Source organism: Homo sapiens, chromosome 17 (genome assembly GCF_000001405.40).
Source record: "Homo sapiens chromosome 17, GRCh38.p14 Primary Assembly".
NCBI classification, from domain to species: domain Eukaryota; kingdom Metazoa; phylum Chordata; class Mammalia; order Primates; family Hominidae; genus Homo; species Homo sapiens.
In genome coordinates this window covers 48,817,986-48,838,622 of record NC_000017.11, presented here as the reverse complement: position 1 = coordinate 48,838,622, position 20,637 = coordinate 48,817,986, and the positions used below count along the sequence as shown (strand labels likewise).

The 20,637-nt window shown below is 46.8% G+C and overlaps 1 protein-coding gene across 5 annotated transcripts in view, besides 2 other annotated features; it reads right to left on the bottom strand.

Moving 5' to 3' along the window:
- The window catches only part of CALCOCO2 (calcium binding and coiled-coil domain 2), a 34,211-nt gene extending 26,623 nt beyond the window's left edge, over positions 1-7,588 (bottom strand). For all 5 annotated transcript variants that reach the window (NM_001261391.2, NM_001261390.2, NM_005831.5 and 2 more), the window contains exon 1: positions 7,545-7,588. The gene's annotated coding sequence lies outside the window, so the exon portion shown is untranslated. The remainder of the gene's footprint in view (positions 1-7,544) is intronic.
- Positions 6,703-7,584: an enhancer, noted in NCBI's record as "H3K27ac-H3K4me1 hESC enhancer chr17:46908401-46909282 (GRCh37/hg19 assembly coordinates)". NCBI's record gives its function as "activates a minimal SCP1, AML or CMV promoter by ChIP-STARR-seq in primed H9 embryonic stem cells {active_cell/tissue: H9 hESC(primed)}" and the evidence as "EXISTENCE:reporter gene assay evidence [ECO:0000049][PMID:30033119]".
- Positions 7,173-7,332: a silencer, noted in NCBI's record as "silent region_8661". NCBI's record gives its function as "represses an Ori minimal core promoter by ATAC-STARR-seq in GM12878 lymphoblastoid cells {active_cell/tissue: GM12878}" and the evidence as "EXISTENCE:reporter gene assay evidence [ECO:0000049][PMID:35858748]".

The following is a 20,637-nucleotide window of genomic DNA, read 5'->3' as shown; positions in this document are numbered from 1 at the left end:
CCTGCCTCGGCCTCCCGAGTAGCTGGCACTACAGACGCCTGCCACCATGCCCGGCCAGTTTTTTGAATTTTTAGTAGACACAGGGTTTCACCGTGTTAGAAAGGATGGTCTCGATCTCCTAACCTCGTGATGAGCCCACCTCGGCCTCCCAAAGTGCTAGGATTACAGACATTAAGGGAGGAGACCACCCCTCATGTTGTCTTATGCCCAATTTCTGTCTCCAAAGAAAAAAAAAGTAAAAACTAAAAGGCAGAAATGAAATCCACAAGCAGACAGCCCGGCGCCACACCCTGGGCCTGGTAGTTAAAGATCGACCCCTGACCTAATTGGTTATGTTATCTATAGATTACAGACATTGTATAGAAAAGCACTGTGAAAATCCCTATCCTGTTTTGTGACGATCTAATTACCGACACATGCAGCCCCCAGTCATGTACCCCCTGCTTGCTCAATTGATCACGACCCTCTCACGCATACCCCCTTAGAGTTGTTAGCCCTTAAAAGGGACAGGAATTGCTCACTCGGGGAGCTCAGCTCTTGAGACAGGAGTCTTGCTGATGCCCCCGGCCTAATAAACCCCATCCTTCGTTAACTCGGTGTCTGAGGAGTTTTGTCTGTGGCTCTTCCTGCTTCAATGTAAGCCACCGCGCCCGGCTGGCACACATATAATTTTTAAAAATAAATAAGTACAATAACCAAAAAAACAAGACCTCCCAAACAACCATAATACTTATTCTAGCCCCATCCTATCTATTTACTGGTTTTACTTTGAAGTCTAAGCAACCAGGCCTGCTCTTCCAACTCCCCAGAAGTCAGTTTTTTCATAAAGAAGGCAACAGGACTTTGGAGCACTAAACTGTCTATTCTTGAAATTGAGTTAAGGAACTAAAAAATGCATTGACTTTCTGGTTTGTGACACAGTTTAGCCACATCCTCAACCTCAAACCTCAAAAGTTTTTCTTTCCATTTTTTTTTTTTAGACAGAGTTTCGCTCTGTTCCCCAGGCTGGAGTGCAGTGGCGGTATCTCAGCTCACTGCAACCTCCGCCTCTGGGGTTCAAGCAATTCTCCTGCTTCAGCCTCCTGAGTAACTGGGACTACAGGTGCACGCCACCATGCCCAGCTAATTTTTTGTATTTTTAGTACAGAGGGGGTTTCACCATGTTGGCCAGGCTGGTCTTGAACTCCTGACCTCAGGTGATCCACCCACCTCAGCCTCCCAAAGTGCTGGGATTACAGGCATGAGCCACCATGCCCGGCTCAAAAGAGTTTTTCAACGGTGGGGGAATGTTCACATTCCAGTCTAGGTCAAGATTTTTCCCTATAATAAACTGTTACCTGTGTACAATGAGGGTTTCTCTTGGATGCTATGAGAGAGTGGGCAGGGAGGTTTCTCAGCTTGCAGACCCTTTATTTCCAAGTGGTCTACCGTCATATGGAGGCCAGCATATCCCTCTGTCCTAAGCCTGGAGCACCAATTTATCTGTGCGTGTAAAATTACTTAACTTGTCCTTTGCGGATCATGAAGAACACTCAGATAAGAGTGTTCTGAGTGTTCTTCTGAGTGCTGCGTGTGGTAGCTCATGCCTGTAATCCCAGCACTGGGAGGCCAAGGCAGGCAGATCACCTGAGGTCAGGAGTTCAAGAGCAGGCTGGCTAACATGGTGAAACCCCATTTCTACTAAAAATACAAAAAATTAGCTGGGTGTGGTGGCATGCATCTGTAATTCCAGCTACTCAGAAGGCTGAGGCAGAATAGCTTGAACCTGGGAGGCGGAGGTTGCAGTGAGCTGAGATCGCACCACTGCACTCCAGCTTGGGCAATAAGAGCAAAACTCTATCTCCAAAAAAAAAAAAAAAAAAAAGAGTGACTTCCGGGACTGCCCCTCATACGCTGGCCTCCATATGTCAGTAGACCACTTGGAAATAAAGGGTCTGCAAGCTGAGAAACCTCCCTGCCCATTCTCCCATAGCATCCAAGAGAAACCCTCATTGTACACAGGTACCAAGTACCTTATCCCCATTTCTTTTCCTTCACAACACTATCACCATTGTATACATAACACAATGCCTAAGGTGTAGTAATCACTGATTAAGTATTTGTTGGATAAATGAACTAACAAGATATGCACATCATTCATCAAAAAGTAAAAAAGGAAGGGGCTTTGTAGGTAAACAATGGTAAGGGTGACTCTGGGGCTAAGAGTGTGTATGTTTTATTTTTTTAAGCCCTCTTAATTTGTTGTTGACCCTTGGAGAAACTGCTGTTTCTCAGCTTTCTCTTTTCTAAAATAGGGTGAGGAGATGATAATCTCCAAGTGCTAAGTCACTTCTTGGTATGGCTGGTTCAGCTGGCATGGCTGGTTCAAGTGGCATGGTGCCAAAAAACCAAAAGGAACAGATTTGATTTCCTTAAGAACCCATCAAATTCACACTCCATTACCTACCTTACACACACTCAAACTCTGGCAAGCTGTTGTGAAAATGGATGCTACTCTGAAAGGCAAGACCAGCTAAGGGCATGGGGTAGCTTGGTATAGTTTCTCTTTCATTACCAGAAAAACAACCAATCTGGCCGTGTGCCGTGGCTCACACCTGTAATCCCAGAACTTTGGGAGGCTGAGGTGGGTGGATCACTTGAGGTAAGGAGTTCGAGGCCAGCCTAGCCAACATGGTGAAACCCTGTCTCTACTAAAAATACAAAAAATTAGCCGGGCGTGGTGGTAGGCGCCTGTAATCCAAGCTACTCAGGAGGCTGAGGCAAGAGAATCGCTTGAACCCAGGAGGCGGAGGTTGCAGTGAGCCGAGATTATGCCATTGCACTCCAGCCTGGGCAACAAGAGCAAAAAACTCTGTCTCAAAAAAAAAGAAAAGAAAAGAAAAGAAAAGAAAAGAAAAGAAAAACAACCAATCTAAGTTAGCTCATAAGCAGAACGCTTAAGAAAGGACAGCACATATATAGACAACACGAAAGAGCTCATGTTCTGAGGCTTGAGTGTATAGTCAAAGGAAATTCTAGCTATTTTCATTCACCTGAAAACCTAATAATCTGTCTGGAAAAGTGAACAGCTTTGGTTCCTTGCTTATCAAAAATGCAAAAGACCCCATGGAGTTTCCCATTTCAGAAATCTCATCACCTTCCCAGAAGGGACTCAGAGGGCATCCAATGGCATGTGAGGTATTGAGAACTCAATCATTCTTGAAATAAGGTTAAAATTCTCCTCTGCCAAGGCTGGGGAAGGGTTTGAGGAGGCAAGTAGATGAGAACAGCAGTGGCTTCTCTTCTCTCCTTTTTACCAAGCTGTGGACACAAAGGGCCATGAGTAAACTAGAACATAACCATGCCAACCCGAACTTGGTCAGTGAGGAAGTATTCCAGCTTTTCCTGGAGGGAGGGCATCTACTGAGTTTTCAGGTCAGTAATCTTTAGTCTTCCCTTCCTCCCAGTGATAAAATTCCTGGGAGAAATGGGCTCCAACAATGGCTTGGGAAATTACCTTTCTGACAAAGTAGTCTAGAAATGAGTATTTGTGGACAGGGGAGGGAAGATATGTAAAGAGAATTATTTTTTTTGCGGGGGGGCAGGGTCTCACTCTGTCACCCAGGCTGGAGTACAGTGGCACAGCCATGGCTCACTGCAGCCTCAACCTCCCAGGCTCAAGTGACCCTCCACCTCAACCTCCCAAGTAGCTGGAACTATAGGTATGCGCCACCATGCCCACCTAATGTTTGTATTTTTGTAGGGATAGGGTCTCCCTATGTTGCCCAGGCTGGTCTTGAATTCCTGGACTCAAGCAATCCTCCCGCATTGGCCTCCCAAAGTGCTGGGATTACAGGCGTGAGTCACTACACCTGGCCCATGAAAATTAAAATGACTTAAGCATCAACTTCCCCTCCTTTAACCACCTTTCCCACTATAGAACCTGTCTACCATCCATTTCTAACTTGGCAGCAATTCATAGAGGTAAAGAAAAGAGAAGAAATATAAGAGCAAAAGTTAAATTTAGAAGCCCAGAGAACTGCTGAGTTATGAAAAATTAGTGGGACGAGCTAGGTCCCCTAGAAATTATAAAGTGGTATTTTACCTAATTCCTTATTCCAACCCTCAAATCAAAGATTGGCCACATAAGGAATGAACAGAGAAAACAAATAGGGATTTTCAAAAACAAAACTATCAAGCATGGGTAAAATAATGCACAAATTCCACAAACTGTCAGAGGCAACTTTATTTGGCCTCTGACATAGTCATTACCTTTTTTCAGCTCAGTTTCCAAAAGGATTAGGGCCCTCAGAGGAGCAGGCAATAATGGGAAAGTATTTTTAAATGAGTCCCCTGAACTGTCTCCTAGCTTCCAAGAAAACCTGACACATCTTCATCTAATGAGCTTTTCAAGCCTAATATACTACTCCCAGGGCTGTTCCATGAGGACATAGATCCTCTTATGTCTTCCTGAAGAAAAGGAACAGCAGCCTGTTCTACTTCTGCTCTTGCTTTTTTTTTTTTTTTTTTTTTTTTTGACATAGGGTCTTGCAGGCTGGAGTGCAATGGCATGAATGTGGCTCACTGCAGCCTTGACATCCCTGGCTCAAGCAATCCTCTCACCTCAGTTGGAGTAGCTGGGACCCTAGGCATGTGCCTGGCTAATTTTTGTATTTTTGTAGAGACAGGGTTTCACCATGTTGCCCAGGCTGGTCTTGAACTCCTGGACTCAGGCGATCCATCTGCCTCGGCCTCCCAAAGTGCTGGGATTACATGCATGAGCTACCGTGCCCAGCCTACTTCTGCTCTTTCTAACTGCATCTGCAAACTACACTGATAGGTTTTTTAGCAGAAAATTTTTTAAATGGCCAACATGTTTACATTAGCCTTTTTTATACCAGTGGGCATATATTTCAAGAGAAATGAAGACTACAGATTAGTTCACAGAAGGAAATCAAATGCTTCTACAGGCAAGAAAGACATGCAAATCAATTCTTCATTTGAGAACAGTAAAAACAAAGATAAAAGTCAAACCCAATTTAATTGGATTCCTTTATCTTTCTGCTTACTTTTTTTCTTTCTTTTTTTTTTTTTTTTGAGACAGAGTCTCTCTCTGTTGCCCAGGGTGGAGTGCAGTGGTGTGATCTCAGCTCACCACAACCTCTGTCTCCTGGGTTCAAGTGATTCTCCTGCCTCAGCCTCCCAAGACTACATGCATGTGCCACCATGTCCGGTTAATTTTTGTATTTTTAGTAGAGACGGGGTTTCACTATGTTGGCCAAGTTGGTCTCTAACTCCTGACCTCGTGATCCACCCACCTTGGCCTCCCAAAGTGCTGGGATTACAGGCGTGAGCCACTGTGCCCGGCCTTCTGCTTACTTTTCTTTCTAAACGATTAGCAATTAGCAAAAATGGATGAATTGATTTGAATCCCGTTTCTCCCTGGCTATGGCAGAAATGCTTACACATAACCAGCCTTAAAGAATACCAGCAGTGGATACTATGGGTGTGTGTAGATGGCCCTGAAACAGGTAGCAAAAGCAAAGACACAATCACTGGTCTTCAAATTATCGAGCCATTTGCTCTAGCCCAAAATTTCCAAGTTAATTCTAGACCCTTACCTAAAATATGAAAATGTTTCAGAGTGTCTTACAAAAATTTTACACCCCAGGAGGCCTTTATTACTACTCATTAACAATTGTTTGAATTTGCTGTCCAGCTTTTTCTAAACAGGCCCTCATCTCACATCCACACCACCATAGTGCTGGCGCCAGTTCTAGGGGAAGATGGAAAAAATAGTTCTGGGACATCAGGTGCGGGCAACTGGAAACTCTGAAAGGCTCAAAGCTGTGTACTAATCTCCATTTTACTGAGACCATCCACTTTTCCCTTGACAGGGGTGATTCTAACATGCCATGTCCCTGTGACATGGGCAGTGACAGTGTTTGAAGTGTGGTGGAAAGGGGACTAGGCTAACAGCCAAGGGAGCTGGGTTCCTATCTTAGTTCTGCCACTCTGAGAGCTTGGCCAAGTCACAGTACCCTTTTCTGGCCTGTTTCCTCATCAGCAAAATGCATGGCTAAGGCTAGAAAATCTTCAAGGACCTTGCCTGATATAATGATGATCCTAAGTGAAGGAAAAAAGAAGTGAAAGAGTTCATTTAACTCTCTTTTCATCTAAAAATAATTAAGGATACATGACATTCTATCAATACATACTGCCAAATTAAATTTTTGTTTGTTTGTTTTTTGAGACGGAGTCTCACTCTGTTGCCCAGGCTGGAGTGCAGTGGCGCCATCTCGGCTCACCGCACCCTCCGCTGTCTGGGTCCAAGCGATTCTCCTGCCTCAGCCTCCCAAGTAGCTGGGATTACAGGCGCCCGCCACCACGCTCCACTAATTTTTGTATTTTTAGTAAAGACAGCGTTTTGCTATGTTTGCCAAGCTGGTCTTGAACTCCTGACCTCAGGTGATTCTGCCCGCCTGGGCCTCCCAAAGTGCTGAGATTACAGGCGTGAGCCACCGCGCCTAGTCAGCCAAATTAAATTTTTAAAGAGCCACAGATGTACTATCTGACTCGAAAGACAATATGACCTGTTAGTGCCAGGTAACTCAGGATTATCGACTACCTTTTTCAAGGCCCTTTCCATTCCACAGCTGTCATGTCTGCCAAAGGATAGAGTTTCCAGGTCCCTTGAAAATACCTGGGAAACTGAGCCATCTGGATATTCCTTAATCATGTATTCTCCACAAGCTACAAAGACCTACCACATAAAGTCCTTTACTTGCAATGGTGTTTCCAATAATAGAATAAGTTATATTATCCATATTTTACTCAGCTCCAACCATGGTCACTTGTTGGCTTGCATGTGAAGCAAGAATCCAAGTGATAGAAAAGAGTTAACACGTCCAGTGGGGTTGAAATAATATACGAGTGGGAACATTAGCTCCCAAACTAAGCTGGGTCAGTGGTGGAGGGGCAATGGATTAACTGTAGAGGCAGGTCACGACACCGTCTTTCCTCCTGCCTAGAACGTCTTCTCCGACAGCTGCAGCATGCAAAAGGCAAGGCGCTTCAGGGATCAAACCTACTCGTAAAGGGGGACACTGAGGCCCAAAAAGAAAGTAACTTGCTCAGGGTGACGCAACAAGGCTCCACCTCCGCCTCGAAGCCAACGGCGATGACATCCAGGCGAGGGATTACGGAACCACCACAGCCTGGGCCCGCGGGAGGGGACGGGACGCCACGACCCGTGGGGCGGCAGCCGCCGCCTCAAGACCCTCGCCGCCGCCAGGGGTGTCACTTCTTCCCGAGGAGCCTCCCACCCTGCCACACAGCACTGCAGCGCTGCCCTCCGCAAGACAAAACTGCCCCGCAACCCTCCCGGGCCGCGGGAGGGGCTCCAGGGCCTTCAGAACACCACTCCCACTATCACCCCAGAGGGTGAACTGCGGTGAGAACCGAAACTTGCCACACCTCTACCCCCGTGGCCCCTTCTCAGGACTGCAAGTCTGAATGTGGGCACCCCGAGGGCCTAACTGCCCCTTTCCACTTGAGGCACTCACCAGGGACAGCAACCAGCAGCGGCGCGACAGCAACAGGGCAGAGTGGGACGGGGGCGGGGCTAAGCACCCAAGGGAGAGCCCGTCCCGCCTGCCCCGCCCACACGTCACAACGGTCAGCAAGCCCCGCCCCCGCGCGGCGCTTGCTGGGACTTGTAGTGTTCAGGTGACCGGGCCCCAGGAGCGGTCTTCTGCCTTTGATGGCTCTCCTAAGTCCTGAGCAGCAATCTCACCGAAATAAACCTACTTCATCCCCTGGAAGAAGCTGTTTACTTTTCTTTTTTTTCTTTTATACCTTTATTTCTTTTTTCTTTTTCTGTCGTCCAGGCTAGAGTGCCATGGTGCGAACACGGCTTACTGCAGCCCCGACCTCCCGGGCTCAGGTGATCCTCCCACTTCAGCCTCCTGAGTAGCTGGGACAACCACGGTGCCCATACGGCGCCCGCCACCACGCCAGGCTAATTTTTGTATTTTTAGTAGAGATGGGGTTTTGCCATGTTGCCTAGGCTGGTCTTGAACTCCTGGGCTCAAGAGGTCCAGCTGCCTCGGCCTCCCAAAGTGTTGGGATTACAGACCTGAGTCATCGCGCCTGGGCTACATCTTTATGTCTTTCTTCCCTGAATGAGAAAGCTTTATACATTTGAAGGGCCATTAAGAGGTCATCTTCATTTTTCTCCTGGGTCCACTTAACACTACTTCACGAAGAGTCTTTATTTTTTTTGAGACAAGGTCTCACTCTGTTGCCCAGGCTGGTGTGCAGCGGGGCGATCTCGGCTCAGTGCAACCTCTGCCTCCTGAGTTCAAGCTATTCTCGTGCCTCAGCCTCCCCAGTAGCTGGGATTACAGGCACCCGCCACCATGCCCGGCTCATTTTTTTGTATTTTTAGTAGAGACGGGGTTTCACCATGTTGGCCAGGCTGGCCTTGAACTCCGTCTCAAAAAGAAAAAAGAGAATAAACTCATGGCCAGGCACAGTAGCTCACGCCTGTAATCCCAACATTTTGGGTGGCCGAGGTGGGAGATCTCTTGAGCCCAGAAATTTCAGATCATCCTGGACAAGATAGGGAGACCCTGTCTCCACAAAAAATAAAAAAATTAGCCGGGTGTGGCGGTGGGCCCCTGTAGTCCCAGCTACTCAGGAGGCTGAGGTGGTAGGATCACTTGAGCCTGGGAGGTGGAGGCTGCCATAAGCCATGATCACACCACTGCACTCCAGTCTGGGAGACAGAGCGAGACCCTGTCTCAAAAAAAAAAAAAAAAAAAAAAAAAAAGAATAAACTCAGTAAGAAAAGAATTCTGCTAAGTCAATTTAAAGAAAATCCCCCATCCTTAATATCTAATAACCCTGGCCTGCCTTCAACAAGAGTCCTGTTAAGTTGGTTTAACAAGAATCTCCTTTTAGTAATTTTCCATGCAGTGACCCCTCACTCTGCTTGTTGGCTATAAATCCCACTTGTCATTATTGTATTCAGAGTGCAGCATAATCTCCCCTTTGGTCCTGAATAAATTCTTCCTTGCCATTTTAACAAGTTTCAGAATATTTTTTTCTTTAACATCCAGAAGATGTTAAATGCTGTATATGCTGTCTATGAAAGATTAAATTTGGAAGTGCCCCTTCTTCCACTGTTTAAATGTGGAAAGAAATTTTTCTGTGCCATCTCAGGCAGGGGAATGAGCATTCCTTTTTTTTTTTTTTTTTTTGTCGAGACAGAGTCTTGCCCTGTCGCCTAGGCTGGAGTGCAGTGGCATGATCTGGGCTCACTGCAACCTCCACCTCCCGGGTTCAAATGATTCTCCTGCCTCAGCCTCCTGAGTAGCTGGGACTACAGGCGCCCGCCACCACGCCCGGCTAATTTTTGTATTTTCAGTAAAGACGGGGTTTCACCATATTGGCCAGGCTGGTCTTGAATTCCTGACCTTGTGATCCACCAGCCTCAGCCTTCCAAAGTGCTGGGATTACAGGCATGAGCCACCACACCCAGCGGGAATGAGCATTCCTAATCTGCTTCCTCACAAGACTGGTGGCATTCAACTGAGATGAACGGATGGTGGGAAATGATGAGTAAGCCAGGAAGTGGGTCATCCGTCTAAAGTTCAAATCACCTTCTGAGTTACCAAAATAATATCTTCCATTTTAAACTCGGTCTGCAGGGACAAGTGCCCTCAGTATCCTGGATACATTTCCCTTAATTTTACTTATTAGATTTTCTAAAAGCACTGAGAATGAAAACCATCTGCACCCACACAGCTTATTGTCTACATTAACATGATAACTATTTCAGTAAATTAAAAATGAAGGCTGGCCGGGCATGGCGGCTCACGCCTGTAATCCCAGCACTTTGGGAGGCCGAGGCGGGCGGATCATGAGGTCAGGAGTTTGAGACCAGCCTGGCCAACATGGTGAAACCCAATCTCTACTAAAAATGCAAAAGTTAGCTGGGCATGGTGGCAGGCGCCTATAATCCCAGCTACTTGGGAGGGTGAGGCAAGAGAATCGCTTGAACCCAGGAGGCAGAGGTTGCAGTGAACCAAGATTGCGGAGGTTGCAGTGAACCGAGATTGCACCTTTGCACTCCAGCCTGTAGTCCCATCCACTCAGGAGGATGAGGCAGGAGGATCACTTGAGCCCAGGAGTTTGAGTTTGCAATGAGCAGTGATTGCACACTGCACTCGAGCCTTGGCAACAGAGCGAGACCTTGTCTCAGAAAGAAAAAAATAAAAAAAAACCAAACTTGCCTTTATAAAACTAATAAAAGGCCACAGATTTAGAATTATGAGAGGGGCCTGAATTCTGCTAACGTGTTGGCATAGTTAAATGATTACCAGCCATTATTCTGGAGGTCACAAGATTTACAACTTTCCCAATTACTCCCATAAATAACATCACTATTGTAGAACCTAAGATTGGCCTCTTGATAGATCCTTTCAGACTTTGGCATTTCTGACAATCAGATGGCTCCACCAGAACCCAGGACTCTTAACTGGTCCTGTGACTCCCCACCCAGAAACAGACTTAGCACACAAGAAATATTTTCCATACCCCTGTGATTGCATCCCCAACCAATTAGCAGCATCCATTCCCTAGCCCCCTGCCTGCCAAACTATCTTTAAAAAACCCAGCCTCCAAATTTTCAGAAAGACTGATTTGAATAATAATAAAATTCTGCTCTCTCATTTAGCTGGCTCTATGGGTATTAAACTCTTTCCCTATTACAATTCCCCTGTCTTGATAAATTGGCTCTCTCTGAGCAGTGGACAAGAACTCGTTGGGTGTTTATACAACCGCTGGCCTCAAAATACTCTGTTGTGTCTACCAGTCCTAAATGATTGTATCATGATCCTTACCCCATCCTAATCAACCCCCAACCCGCATTGAAAGAGCCTACACTTAAACCAAATTTCAAAGACTCAGTATATACCACTATGTGCTCCCTACTTTGAGCCTCCACAATTCTGTCAAAGTAGTGCTCTTCTCACTGCAGTAAGGATAAACTAGACTTTGTTTTATCAACAGGTTATTTTGTTGATATTTTCAGCACCTAAATTCAATAGCACAAAATAAAACAGTTAGTCTGATTTTTCTCTCTCTCTCCCTCTCTCTGTCTCTTTTTCTTTCACGGAGTCTCCCTCTGTTGCCCAGGCTGGAGTGCAGTGGCATGATCTCAGCTCACTGCATCCTCTGCCTCCTGGGTTCAAGCAATTCTCCTGCCTCAGCCTCCCAAGTAACTGGGATTACAGGTGCCCACCACCACGCCAGGCTAATTTTTGTATTTTTAGTAGAGACAGGGTTTCACCATGTTGGCCAGGCTGGTCTTGAACTCCTGACCTCAGGTGATCCGCCCGCCTTGGCATCCCAAAGTGCTGGCTGGTATTACAGGTATGAGCCACTGCACCTGTTTTTTTTTTTTTTTTTTTTTTTTTTAAGTAGAGATGGGGTCTCACTGTGTTGCCCAGGCTGGTCTCGAACTCTTGGGCTCAAGTGATCCTCCTGCCTCAGCCTCCCAAAGTGCTGGGATTATAGGCATAAACCACCATGCCCAGGCTAGTCTGATTTATGTATTTATGTAGTTATTTATTTATTTATTGAGATGGAGTCTTGCTCTGTCACCCAGGCTGGAGTGCAGTGGTGTGATCTCAGCTAACTGCAACCTCCACCTCCTGGGCTCAAGTGATTCTCCTGCCTCAGCCTCCCAAGTAGCTGGGATTACAGGTGCATGCCACCATGACCAGATAATTTTTGTATTTTTGGTAGAGACGGAGTTTCACCATGTTGGCCAGGCTGGTCTCAAACTCCTGACCTTAAGTAATCTGCCCATCTCGGGCCGGGTGCGGTGGCTCACGCCTGTAATCCCAGCACTTTGGGAGGCCGAGGCGGGCGGATCACGAGGTCAGGAGATTGAGACCATCCTGGCTAACACGATGAAACCCCGTCTCTACTAAAAGTACAAAAAATTAGCCGGGCGCAGTGGTGGGCGCCTGTAGTCCCAGCTACTCGGGAGGCTGAGGCAGGAAAATGGCGTGAACCCGGGAGGCGGAGCTTGCAGTGAGCTGAGATCTCGCCACTGCACTCCAGCCTGGGTGATGGAGCGAGACTCCATCTCAAAATTAAAAACAAACAAACAAACAAACAAACAAAACCAATCTGCACATCTCGGCCTCCCAAAGTGCTGGGATTATAGGCGTGAGCCACTGAGCCAGGCCTTAATCTGATTTATTTCTAATAGAAATGTCGTGGGAGGGCTGTAGCTGCAACCCTTTATAACTGGATATGGAAGGAATAGGAATTTATATTCAGACCTACAGAGAAAATCTTTCACTTCTATCTTCAACTGCTAAGTCTCAGGGCAAAAAAAAAAAAAAAAAAAAAAAAAGATTGAGGCGGTATGTGGTTACTCTGTGCATGACACAGTAGATTATCTCATTTCATTCTTCTAAGGGAAGTATTTTTATTATTCGCATTTTATAGATGAGAAAAGCAAGGCTTAGAGACATAAAATTATTTTCCCATGCTCACATAGCTAATAAGTGCCATCAGAAGAATTTGAGCAAAGCATTCTGACTCCAGTACTGTACCCTTCACTTTTTTTTTTTTTTAAAGAGTCAGTGTCAGAGGTGTTTGAACCAGAGTGACTCCATCTTGAATAGGGGCCGGCTAAAATAAAGCTGAGACCTACTGGGCTGCATTCCCAGGAGGTTAGGCATTCTTAGTCACAGGATGAGGCAGGAGGTTGGAACAAGATACAGGTCATAAAAACCTTGCTGATAAAACAGGTTGCAGTAAAGAATCCAGCCAAAACCCACCAAAACCAAGACGGCGATGAAAGGTCGTCTTCACTGCTCATTATACTCTGATTATAATTCATTAGCAGGCTAAAAGACACTCCTACCAGCACTATGACAGTTTACAAATGCCATAGCAATGTCAGGATGTTACCCTATATGGTCTATAAAGGGGAAGAACTCTCATTTCCAGGAATTTCCCACCCCTTTCCTAGAAAACTCATGAATTATCCACCCCTTGTTTAGCATATAATCAAGAAATAACGGGCTGGCCGTAGTGGCTTACGCCTGTTATCCCAGCACTTTTGGAGGCCAAGGTGGGAGGATCACAAGGTCAGGAGATCGAGACCATCCTGGCTAACACGGTGAAACCTGTCTCTACTAAAAACACAAAAAATTAGCTGGACGTGGTGGCACGTGCCTGTAGTCCCAGTTACTCGGGAGGCTGAGGCACGAGAATCGCTTGAACCCAGGAGGTGGAGGTTGCAGTGAGCCGAGATCACGCCACTGCACTCTAGCCTGGGCAACAGAGCGAGAATCCATCTCAAAAAAAAAAAAAAAAAAAAAAGAGGCTGGGCTCAGTGACTCACACCTGTAATCCCAGCACTTTGGGAGGCCGTGGCGGGTGGATCACCTGAGGTCAGGAGTTCGAGACCAGCCTGGCCAACATGGTGAAACCCCGTCTCCACTAAAAATACAAAAATTAGCCGGGCGTGGTGGCGGCACCTGTAATCCCAGCTACTTGAGAGGCTGAGGCAGGAGAATCACTTGAACTGGGTGGGTGGGGGGCGGTGGAGGTTGCGGTGAGCCGAGATTGCGCCACTGCACTCCAGCCTGGGCAAAAGAGTGAAATGCCATCTCAAAAAAGAAAGCAAGAAAGAAATAACCATAAAAATATCCAACCAGCAGCCCACCAGGCTGCTCTGCCTATGGAGTAGCCATTCTTTTATTCCTTTACTTCCCTTATAAACTTGCTCTCACTCTATGGATTCACCTCGAATTCTTTCTTGCTGGAAATCTAAGAACCCTCCATTGGGGTCTGGATCAGGACTCCTTTCCAGTAACAACAGGATCTCACTCTGTCACTAGGCTGGAGTTCAGTGTCATAATCACCGCTCACTGCAGCCTCAACTTCTGGGGCCCAGGCAATGCTCCTACCTCAGCCTCCTGAGTAGCTGGGATTATAGGCATGCACCATTGTAACGGGCTAATTTTTTTTTTTTTGAGACAGTCTTATTCTGTTGCCCAGGCTGGAGTGCAATGGTGTGATCTCGGCTCCTGCAACCTCCACCTCCCAGGTTCAAGCAATTATCCTGTCTCAGCCTCCTGAGTAGCTGGGATTACAGGTGCACACCACCAGGCCCAGCTAATTTTTGTATTTTTAGTAGAGATGGGGTTTCACCATGTTGGTCAGGCTGGTCTCGAACTCCTGACCTCGTAATCCGCCCACCTCAGCCTCCCAAAGTGCTGGGATTACAGGCGTGAGCCACCGCACCCGATGTAGCTGGCTAATTTTTTTATTTTATCTAGAGATGGGATCTCACATTATGTTGGCCAGGTGGGTCTCGAACTCCTGGCCTCAGGTAATCCTTCTGCCTCGGCCTCCCAAAGTGCTAGGATACAGGTGTGAGCCACCTCGCCTGGCCCCATTCTTAACCACTGTCCTCATTATGTTTTTAATGAAGAATTCAGCAAGCTATAAGGGAAGACAAACACATAAATGACTATAATACCACAAGATATTGGTTTTATTTATTTATTTTTTTGAGATGTAGTCTCACTCTGTTGCCCAGGCTGGAGTCCAGTGGTGCGATCTCAGCTCACTCGCTGCAACCTCTGCCTCCAGGGTTCAAGCAATTCTCCCTGCCTCTCAGCCTCCTGAGTAGCTGGGATTACAGGCGCATGTCATCATGTCCAGCTAATTTTTATGTTTTTTAGTAGAGATGGGGTTTCGCCATGTTAGCTAGGTGGGTCTAGAACTCCTGGCCTCAGGTAGTCTGCCTGCCTCAGCCTCCCAAGATGCTGGGATTACAGGCGTGAGCCACTGCACCCGGCCAAGATATTGGCTTTAGAAAAGGAATTTTTACACAGTGCTAAGAGAGCACAGAATCAATTTTTCCTAGGGGCAAGCAGGAAGGCTTCATAGGAAAGATGTTAAAGAAAAAATCATTCTGAAGCCTGTTAAAATAGTAAGGAGGACTTCATCCAGGACTGTTGCATTAGGGACATTACAATAGGTGAAAAAGAGTGTGCTCAACTCCAAATACAATAACGACAAATGGGATTTATAGCTAAGGAGCAGAGTGAGGAAAATCCACGGATGGAAAATTATTAAGAGGAGACATCAAGAGTGGGGGGGCGGGATTCTTGCTAAACCAACTTAACAGGATTCTTGCCAAAGGCAGGCTAGAGATTGATCACATATGAAGAGTGGGGGAGGCTGGGCGCAGCAGCTCATGCCTGTAATCCCAGCACTTTGGGAGGTGAAGGTGGGAGGATCACAAGGTCAGGAGTTTGAGACCAGCCTGGCTAACATAGTGAAACCTGTCTCTACTAAAAATACAAAAAATTAGCTGGGCGTGGTGGCGGGCACCTGTAGTCCCAGCTACTTAGGAGGCTGAGGCAGGAGAATTGCTTGAACCCAGGAAGTGGAGGTTGCAGTGAGCCGAGATCGTGCCACTGCACTCCAGCCCTGGCGACAGTGAGGACTCCATCTCAAAAAAAAAAAAAAAGAAGAGTGGGGGGTGAGGAATTTGATCAGTTTTTGAGGGTGATCAGTTATCAAGGGTGGAGGGTTCTCTTTAAACTGCCTTAAGAATGTTGCCAAAACTGCTGGGTGCAGTGGCTCACGCCTGTAATCCCAGCTTTTAGGGAGACAGAGGCAGGAGGATAGCTTGAGCTCAGGAGTTTGAGACCTGCCTGGGCAATATAGCTAGACTCGGTTCTTCACAAAAAGGAAAAAAAAAAGAAGCCAAAAAGCAAAAAAGATTCTTGCTAAAATCAGACTCAGTAAGGACAGACATGGAAGCCCAAGGTCAAAGAGGGCTCAGAGGAGCCTAACTAAAGTTTGGTCAAAGAGAATCTGTGGCTGGGAGTGGTGGCTCACTCCTGTAATCCCAGCACTTTGGGAGGCCGAGGTGGGCGGATCACCTGAGGTCGGGAGTTCAAGACCAGCCTGACCAACATAACATGGAGAAACCCCGTCTCTACTAAAAATTCAAAATTAGCTGGGCAAGGTGGTGCATGCCTGTAATCCCAGCTACTCCGGAGGCTGAGGCAGGAAAATGGTTTGAAGCTGGGGAGCGAAGTTTGCAGTGAGCTGAGATGACGCCACTGCACTCCAACCTGGGCGACAGAGTGAGGCTCCATCTCAAAAAAAAAAAAACAAAAAAAACCCAAAAAACAAAAAACAAAACAAACAAAAGTAGTACTGGGAGAGCTGGGTGCTGTGGTGCGCACTTTTAATCCTAGCTACTTGGGAGGCTGAGGTGGGAGGGTCACTTAAACCCATGAGTTAGAGACTACCCTGGGCATCATAGTAAGACTTCATCTCAAAAACAAAAACAAAAACAAAAACAAAACAAAACAAACAAACCAAAAAACAACCCAAAACTTCTGGTTCACCAGGTCTGACAAAAAAAGAAAAAAGTTATCTGCAGATTTTCAACTGCCTAGGGGGTTGATGCTCCTAACCCCTGCATGGTTCAAGGGTCAGCTGTAAAATCCTTAACATGTGTTCGTTTTTATATCTATATGAGAGTCCTGGTTTTATCTTTATTAAGAAAATTCTCTCTTTTTTTCCAGTTTTTTTAATATGTAAATACATGTTTGACATAGTCATAGCCTTTATATTTTTTTCACTCACTACTTTTATTAAGTAAAAAACTTCCTTGGTGCAATGAAACTTCATATATGTTAGTTTCTTTTTTGCTGTAATATAATTGATTCTACCATAATTTACTTAACCATTTTCTAACAATTGAATATTTAAGCTGTTTATTAAAAAAAAATTTTTTTTTTTGAGATGGAGTTTCATTCTTGCCCAGGCTGGAGTGCAATGGCACCATCTTGGCTCACTGCAACCTCTGCCTCTTGGATTCAGGTGATTCTCTTGCCTCAGCCTCCCGAGTAGCTGGGATTACAAGTGCCCACCATCACACCTGGCTGATTTTTGTATATTTAGTAGAGATGAGTTTCACAATGTTGGCCAGGCTGGTCTTGAATTCCTGACCTCAAGTGATCCGCCTGCCTTTGCTTCCCAAAGTGCTGCGCTTTATAGGTGTGAGCCACCGCACCGGGCCCAATTTTATTTTTTTGATCCATGGTCCCATTCTGTCGCCCAGGCTGGAGTGCAGTGGCATGATCTTGGCTCACTGCAGCCTCCACCTCCCAGACTCAAGCAATCCTCCTCCCTTAGCCTCCAAGTAGCTGGGGCTCCAGGTGTGCACCACTACACCCAGCTGAGTTTTGTATTTTTAGTAGAGACGGGGTTTCTCCATATTGCCCAAGCTGGTCTTGAACTCCTGGACTCAAGCAATCTGCTCTCCTTGACCTCCCAAGTGCTGGGATTACAGGCATGAGCCACGGTGCCCAAATAATTTTTTTTTTTTGAGACGGAGTCTCACTCTGTCATCCAGCCTGGAGTGCAGTGGCAAGATCTTGGCTCACTGCCAACCTCTGCCTCCTGGGTTCAGGTGATTCTCCTGCCTCAGCTTCCTGAGTACCTGGGATTAACAGGTGCCTGCCACCATGCCAGGCTAATTTTTGTTTTTTTAGTAGAGACGAGGTTTCACCATGTTGGCCAAGCTGGTCTCAAACTCCTGACCTCAAGTAATCCGCCCCCCTCGGCCTCCCAAAGTGCTGGGATTACAGGCATGAGCCCCTGCGCCCAGCTAATCAGGGCACTGTCTATGGAACTTGTCTGAGGGCCATCTACACCAAGACAAGGATGCTTTAAAAACAGCCATGTTGTTTCCTTACAGGGCAAAAAGAAAAAAAAAACCCAACATCTATGAACAGGGAAGTTTGTTTTCCCAGAAAGTGGAGGAGGATGAAGAAGAAAGGCAAAATAAAAACAGAAACCTGCCTGTAATCCCAGCACTTTGGCATGCAGAGGCGGGCAGATCACCTGAAGTCAGCAGTTCGAGACCAGCCTGGCCTACGTGGCGAAACCCCCATCTTTACTAAAAATAAAAAAAAATTATCTGAGTGCAGTGGCTCACGCCTATAATTCTAGCACTTTGGGAGGCTGAGGTGGGTGGATCACCTGAGGTCAAGAGTTCAAAACCAGCCTGGCCAACATGGCGAAACCCCGTCTCTACTAAAAATACAAAAATTAGCCAGGCGTGATGGCAGGTGCCTGTAGTCCCAGCTACTCAGGAGGCTGAGGAGGCTGAGGCAGGAGAATCGTTTGAACCCGGGAGGCGGAGGTTGCAGTGAGCCGAGATTGTGCCACTGCACTCTAGCCTGGGTGACAGGGCGAGACTCCATCTCGAAAAAACAAAAACAAAAACAAAAAAACCCAGAAACCTGGGAGCTCCACTGCTCATGGGTGGGCAGTCCCCTGTCCAGGGGCTCTTTCAGCCCCATCAGATACAGTTACACATCAAAATGGAGAGGATTCAGAAGAGGTGCTTGGCAGCAGTTTCTATTGCTATTTCTATTTCACTAATATCAGAGCATGTGGAGGAAGGGGTAATGGACTCTATGACCCCACTGCAAGCCTTGAGCAAAGCCATCCCACTTTCCTGGGCCTCAGTTTCCTCATCTGAAAACAGGACAAATGCCATGGAGGTCTCTAAGAACTCTTCTGATTTAAAAGAAGCCCAATTCTGTGATTATATACACTTCTACAACATTCTCTCATGCATTGCAGACTTAAAGCAAAAAAAATCTGGGGTATGCAAAATTTTATCTAAGCATCCTTGCCTCATTCCCACTCCTTACATCATTCCTGGTACACATATCAAGACTTTATTTTGGCTGGGCACGGTGGCTAACACCTGTGATCCCAACATTTTGAGAGGCAACAAAACAAGATCCCGTCTCTACAAAATTGTTTTTTTAAAAAATTAGTCAGGCATGGTGGTAGGAGCCTGTAATCCTAGCTACTCAGGAGCGTTGCTTGAGCCCAGGAGTTTGAGGCTTCAATGAGTCATGACCGTGCCACTGTACTCCAGCCTGGACGACAGAGCAAGACTCCATCTCGAAAAAAACAAAATAAAATTATTTTGGCCGGGTGCAGTGGATCACGCCTGTAATCCCACCACTTTGGGATGCCGAGGTGGGCGGATCACGTGGTCAGGAGTTTGAGACCAGCCTGGCCAACATGGTGAAACCCGTCTCTACTAAAAATACAAAAATTAGCCGGGCATGGTGGCGGGTGTCTGTAATTCCAGCTACTTGGGAGGCTGAGGCAGGAGAATTGCTTGAACCCAGGAGGCAGAGATTGCAGTGAGCTGAGATCGCGCCACTGCACTCCAGCCTGGGCGACAGAGCAAGACTCCGTCTGAAAAAAAAAATATATTTTGACTGGCACAGGAAGAAAGGGCTTCTAGGAGGGACCTTGGTTCAGGGAGCAGAAGCAGGATCTCTGTTTGTTTCATTAACTACTTAAAGGAAGAACTCCAAACTGAGAAAAAACGCTGTGTGTGAAGTGCAGAGCAAACAACCTTACGGGGATTTTACTGTTGTTTTACTATTTATCTATTTAGTCAGGTGGGTGCCTTAGGAACAAAACAGCAGTGAAAACAACAGGGTTGGACCTGGATTTTTCCACACACTCTTGCCTCTGACAGCTTCTAGGACATGGTCCAAATTTTTTGACAATTAGGACCCTCCATCATTCTGCTTCAGTTTTTCATGCCCAGGCCGAGTAAGTCCCTCAGTGTTTACCTTGTGGATTTGTCTGTTTAGGGTTTGCCAGGCACAAATCACTGATATTCTCTGCTTTCCTGGCTGTCACTCGGGTTGAAGCTTGCTTTGCTCTACAGTGAGGGCAGCTCCACTGTTCACCGTGTTCACCCTGTGTTTGCTCCTGACATCAGCCCTGAAAGGACAGTAGTGCCAGGCTCTGGCCTATAAGCTCCCGTTGCAACATCTCATAAATAACCAGTTGTCAGGGATTTTAGTGGAAACTCTCTGAAAGCCGTAAATCTTTGCTGCTCTCTCCTGTATCCTCTCCCTCATTTCCATCACAATATCACTCCTGAGGGACCGGAGACCAAACAGGAGCTAGGCAGAGCAGATTGGTAGGACGCTGGGGAAAGACAACAGTGGGATGGGGGAGGGGACCAGGCTGGGACAGTTGGTCTTAGGGAAGCATCTGCTGGGTGACCAGTTAATGATGGTCACTTGGCCCCTTAGGGCCTGTCGGGGAGGGGCACCACAGCACGGGGCCACCTGCGGGGGGAAAAGGGAAGAGTGCTGACTGGATGGCAGAGAGGTTTCTGAAAGAGCAGCAGATGGGCCACTGGTTCCACTTTGGGCCTTCTGTTCACTCCGGGGTGACTGTAAGCACCACGTAGTAGGCTTCCAGGGTCGGCTTGAGGCTAAGCTACACCCTTGCCTCTGGTGTTCTGCCTGTGCACATCAGCAGGTGAAGGGGATCTGGGTTGGGAGGAACTTAGGTTACCAACTCAGGCCCAAATGAACAATGTTTATTTATTTATTTGAGACAGAGTTTCCCTCTGTTGCCCAGGCTGGAGTGCAGTGGCGCGATCTCAGCTTAATGCAACCTCTGCCTCCTGTGTTCAAGCGATCCTCCCGCCTCAGCCTCCCGATAGCTGGGACCACAGGTACGCGCACCGCGCTCGGT